At 45.9% G+C, this 5,575-nt stretch overlaps 1 annotated feature.

Moving 5' to 3' along the window:
- Window positions 2,755-3,256: an enhancer, noted in NCBI's record as "NANOG hESC enhancer chr10:48563688-48564189 (GRCh37/hg19 assembly coordinates)". NCBI's record gives its function as "activates a minimal SCP1, AML or CMV promoter by ChIP-STARR-seq in primed H9 embryonic stem cells {active_cell/tissue: H9 hESC(primed)}" and the evidence as "EXISTENCE:reporter gene assay evidence [ECO:0000049][PMID:30033119]".

Genomic DNA, 5,575 nt, shown 5'->3' with positions numbered 1-5,575 from the left:
AGCCTGCTTTGTCCTAGGGGTGGTCTCGCTTCCCCTCCCTCTTATCTTCCTAGTGCATGGCTCTCCAGAAAAACCATGTTGCCTTCCCTTCTTCCTCCAGGCTGGTAACACTAAGTTGGGAAGGGCTGAATTCAGATCCTCACTCATGTCCCTCTGCCCTGAACCTCAGCAGCTGTGGATAATATGTATTGACAGTTTGGAGGCTGATTCAACCTGTTAACTTTGGGGGGCATCACATGCCTCTCTTCTTGCTCCAGACCCTATGCAACACCTCAAAACCGGAAGGCAAAGCCATCAGTTCTGGGCTCAAAACTTCATTTCAACCACGCCCAAAGACCATGACTGATGTGCTCCCTCAGGGCTATGAGATTCTGTCCTGACACTGCTGTGCTCCAAGGAAAGCTGTAACGAATGAGCATGAAATATGTGGAGGCCAAGGATGGGAAGGCTTCAAGTGGCCCGGTGAAAGCCTCTCTTCTGAAACTGCATCTGGTCAGGGATGAGAGCACCTTTTCTGAGGCTGAGCTTTCAGTCAAGCCTTCTGGCTTCAAGGGTGCAGACCCAACATGAACCTTCGGAGATGCCAATTCATTTACTCTTGGCAAAACCGGGCTTCCTCTCTCAATACAAATGAAAGCATGGAAGGCTTGTAAAATTGACTCCAAATGCATTGTGCATATCTACAAACCCTTAAAACCCAACATTTGGATGAGCTGCTAGGAGATGGATCAGAAACACATGGAGTGGATTTTCTGTAAATTGCACTGTGCGCCTCTGAAATTAAAGGGAAAGAGCTTGGCATGGTCCATTTGGGAGTCACAGATCTTCCAGCACTTGAAGCATCAGTGAATGTTCCCCAGGCAGAAGATTCTTTGGCTCACTTCCACAGGCTCTCATTTTCCTCCCAGCAGAACCTGTTAAAGGGGGAAAGGAAATGAGAAATAGAAGAGGAAGCGAGAGGGTATTGAGAAGGCCTTCAGGAAGATGGGCTGCGAACTTGGGGATTGTAAAGCATGTGGACAATTTGGGAAGTGTGGGATGAAGCCGGTTCTTAAAATCTGTATCTGTAACCAGGTTCTCTTGGCTTCTCCCTCAGTGATTCAGGCAGAGATTTTTCTGGGCTGGCCATGGACCTTGCAAATGAGTATGCACATCATTTAGAAACTATTCACATCCTGGAGTGGCCAGAGCATGTAGAGTGATTAGAATCATGCAGACCATTTCCATGAAGCCTGGTGACACATAGGTCATACTGTCATATGCTATTATTCTGCTGGTGTTTGAAGGCATGATCTGTTATTTTCCACCTGCTTACTTTTAAAACAAAGCCCTGTTGACTAAGTGCATTCTATTTTGAATACTTCAAATGAATGATACTTTGAGACCAAGTCAACTGTTGACATTCAGCCAAGACTATAACCCATATGTTCAAAGTTAATGACCATCTGGCCTAGAAAAGGCCAGAAGGATCACGCGATGTGTGGAAAGCACATTGCAGACAATCTCTGACTTTCCAAAGCACTTACAGACCCACCCAAGAACTGACAGCCCCTCACCGAGGCCGCCACCACGTGAGCCACCCTGCTGTGCAATAACCTGTCTACATGTCAGTCCCCAGCACCGGGCACTGAGTCCCATCAGAATAATCTCATTCTTGTTTGTTGTTGGGTGGGGATCAATGCAGAGCAATGGGCAGGGCATGTGTTTAGGCATCAGACTGACCTAGCATTTAATCTCAGCTCAGTCAGGCTTCCAGCTCTGGGAGAGTCCACCACTCCTTGTTTTCCTACCCTGCTCTTTGCCACATGCGGCCCCATCAGAGGTCTAGGTTTACACACCTTGGTTGAGCCTGTGGGTTTAAAAATCAGAGTTCTCACTTTGTCTATCCCAGCCAAACATCTGCAGCACGAAAGCTGCTCTGTGCACTGAAAGTGACATGAAATTTATCTCACGTTACCCTTTTCCAGGACCGTATCAGTAGGAGGGTGGGGCTGTCAGGGACAGATGCACAGGCACTGGGGACCTTGGAACAGGGGCTCGTGGGCGTTAGACATGAATCTCCAGAATAAGTAGGTTCCTGGCATCTGTTCTGCCTAGCTCCGCACCACCCACTGCTCCTGGGCACGGCTTCAGCAGGTGGGAGGTGTCTCCCCCTGCCCACAGGGGTATCCCTTGCATGGAGAGACAGAGAGGTAATTACAGAAAAACTGAAATGCACATTGGCATTAGCAGAGTTGCGGGGCAGTTCCCTTCTGAAACGCATTCATTCCTGTACTTTCTGCTTTATAATAAACACATAGCCCTTTGGAAATTAGAACAAAGGGACTAAAGGTCTAAACAAGGACAATGTAGTACACAAAACAATGAGACATAGGAAGGGACAGACGTAAGATATGACAGCAGAGTGAGGGATTTGCCTCTGCTGACGTCAGGAGAGGCTTAGGAAAGAAAAGAGGATGATCATAGCTTCTCAGGCAGCCAGGAGGAAAATGCTTCCTGGCAGGCACCTGGACACCAGGAGCGTAGTCTCCACGCACGAGACAGGGCGGCATGGGCTGGGAACTAGGATTAGCTCAGGGTTGCTGAAATGCCAAGGGAGGCAGGGCAGGAAGTGAGGAAGAAGAGATCAGGGCCTCATTGTAGAAGTCATATGTGCCAGCTTCAATTTGTATCCCGAAGGGAGTAATAAAAGGTAATTAAGCCAGGGCCTGACCCAAGGGGCTGCATTTGCATTTGAAAATTTCTTCAGTGCATGTGGAAGGTGTTTGGAGACAGGCAGGGCTAGGATCAAGAGACAAAGCCAATTAGGGTCTATTTTTCACCTGCTTATGAAGGCTATCAGTAAGACAGCCAATTTTGCTAAGGGTCTGAGCAAGAAGGAATTGCGGATGCAGCCGCCAGCTGACATCTGCCCCCTAAGGCTCTGCATAGTCCCTCTTCCCACAGTGGGGAAGGGGGCCCAGTGGGGGTTCCCTGGGCCATCAATCTTCATTAAGTCCGTCATTGTCCTCAAGAGCCGGGCAGTGCTTGGAAGGGCTGCTTGATGGAAGTACTGTGACCCCAAAGTATTTAGAAATAAAGGCTAATTGACCATAGGAAAATCAAACAGATACCATCACTGGTGTTTCAGCTTCTGGGCTCTTGGACACGTCTCCCAGTCACACTTCTACCTCATCCCCAACAATGGAGATGCCTGCGAGGCACTCGCCGACCCTCCCAGCAGTGGAACTACCCAGGGACATGATGAATGGCTCCTCACTGGGCACTTTGGAGACAGGGTGGGAGTAGCAAGTGGGACAGAAGTCAGCTCAAACGTCAGGCAGAGCAGGCCCTTTGCTGTCACTCCAGCCCAGCCTGACGCACTGTCCCATCATTGTGGAGAAATTTTTACTGAGATATAATGGACAAATGAAAATTGTATATATTTATCATGTATGACTTGGCGTTGATGTACATATACACTGTGAAATAATCTCTACAATCAAGTTAATATATTCATTACTTTATATAGTTACCATTTCCTTCCTTCCTTCCTTCCCTTCCTTCCTTCCTTCCCTCCCTCCCTCCCTTCTTCCCTTCCTTCCTTTTCTCTCTCTCTCTCTCCCCCTCTCTCTTTCTCTCTCTCTCTCTCTCTCTGTATCTTTCTTGGAGTGAGAATACTTAAGATCGACCCTCAGCAAATTTCAAGCACAACTATGCTTTCTTATCAGAGTAAAAATCCTACTGCTGGAAGGAATTCAATGGCAGAACCATGTTTGTGTTGTATTATTCTCAGCTGGATATTTGATAGGATTTAATTGGTACAGAAATTGACCATTAGCAATGTGCTTTCCCACACATCATTAAGTAAATTTTCAGTGGGCTGGGACTGGTGGTTCAGAGGTGAAGACCTGCCTCTAAGCAGCTAATGGTCACTCTCAGTGTGTGTGCATGTTGTGTGTGCCTGTGAGTATGTCTGTGTGCTGTGTGTGATTCTGTGTATGTGCATGTGGGAAGTGCTTTAAAGAACAAGAGCCACCAAGGAAACCCAGGGTTTCTAAGGAAAACACAGCACGGGGAGGGATAGAGAGCATAGATAGGGTCAGCTAACTAGGTGAAGACTTTTAAAATACCAGGCTTGCAATTGGCCACCCTCTCTCTATGTCCTCACATGGCAGAAAGAGAGAGGGAGGGATGGTGTCTCATTCCCTTTTATTAGGACTCCAGTTCTATCGGGTCAAGGCTCCAACCTTATAACCTCATTTCACCCTCACCAGACATGGAACCCTGTCAGAACCTTCGTCTTAGACGTTGCAGCCTCCAGGCTGTGAGAAAGGAGATTTCTGTTGCTACAGTCACTCTGCTTGTGATGTTTTGTTGTGGCAGCCCGTGACTAATGCAAGCACCCTCCAACCGAGTACATAGCACACCCAGGCCATTAAAAGGCATCACAACCAGGGGGTGGGCTTTTCTCTTGAACCCCTCACTTACCCTCATTAACTGTATAGACATAGTCTCATGGGGTTTGAGAAAGGGAATCCTGTCATTAAAAAGATGACTTTCTGTTCCCTGCAAATTTAATCGAAAGATACATGATCCAAACGTTGTCCTGTTTCTTGGTTGACACACTGTGGGTCAGGGTTTTCCAAGCCAATGTTTTCCACATACAGCCAGAGGACTTAACACACAGACTAATGTTCACCTTTCCACCACTTGGGGTAACATAATGATTGTGTTGGTTTGTTGATGAATTTCATTGCATTCCAATTACCTTTAATGTATTCATGTAACTTGTTTATGAACAAAGCTACATAAGGTCAACAAAGAGTTTTGTTTTTGAATCATGGGCTAAACTTGCAAAAGTGAACCATGAGCCAGGAGGAATTATCTCTTGACAGAATAGGACCTTAAATGTTTCCAGCAGTGATACTGGTTCAAAATCATTGACTGGCTCTATCTGTCTGTCTGTCTGTCTGTCTATCTATCTATCTATATCTACCATCTATCAATCTGCCTACCTATCTTTGATGTTCCCTAAATTTCTTATGATTAAAAAAACACAGAAATGAAAAATTTCATAACAGCAGTGAGACTAGGAAGAGAATATATCAGCATAGGGCTGTGCCTGACTCTTTAATCATAATCATATTTAATCATAATTTATTCATAAATAGGACCGTACAACCAAAGATATTCAGATTCTTGAGGGAAACATCTACAAACCTAAATACGCTGTTAATAAACCCTGTCTGCAGCCCCTCCTCACTCTCCCCCCGCACCGAGGTGGACTAAGGGGCTCCAGTTTGCAACTGTGGGTGTTCAGGGGTGGGTTGGATTGCTCAGACATTTGCCATTTGAGGTTTGGGATTCTGCTCAGCCACTTACCATTTATCCTTCTCCTTTTTAGCTTACAACATTTTGTTGATATTAACTACTCTCCTGTCTCCTTTTTTAAAAAAAGCTTGTGCTTTTAAAAATCACTTTACTGCCATTTCAGTGGGGCTTGGTGAGGGAGCAGAGAAAATGAACATGTTCAGTTATCTCTAGATCTGTAAAAATACACTTTCTTCTCACTCTTCTAAGAAAAATGACTTGA

The sequence above is a fragment of the Homo sapiens genome, chromosome 10 (genome assembly GCF_000001405.40).
Source record: "Homo sapiens chromosome 10, GRCh38.p14 Primary Assembly".
In the NCBI taxonomy this organism is placed as follows: Eukaryota; Metazoa; Chordata; class Mammalia; order Primates; family Hominidae; genus Homo; species Homo sapiens.
The sequence above is the reverse complement of the archived record's forward strand: the minus strand, read 5'-3'. Positions and strand labels throughout refer to the sequence as shown.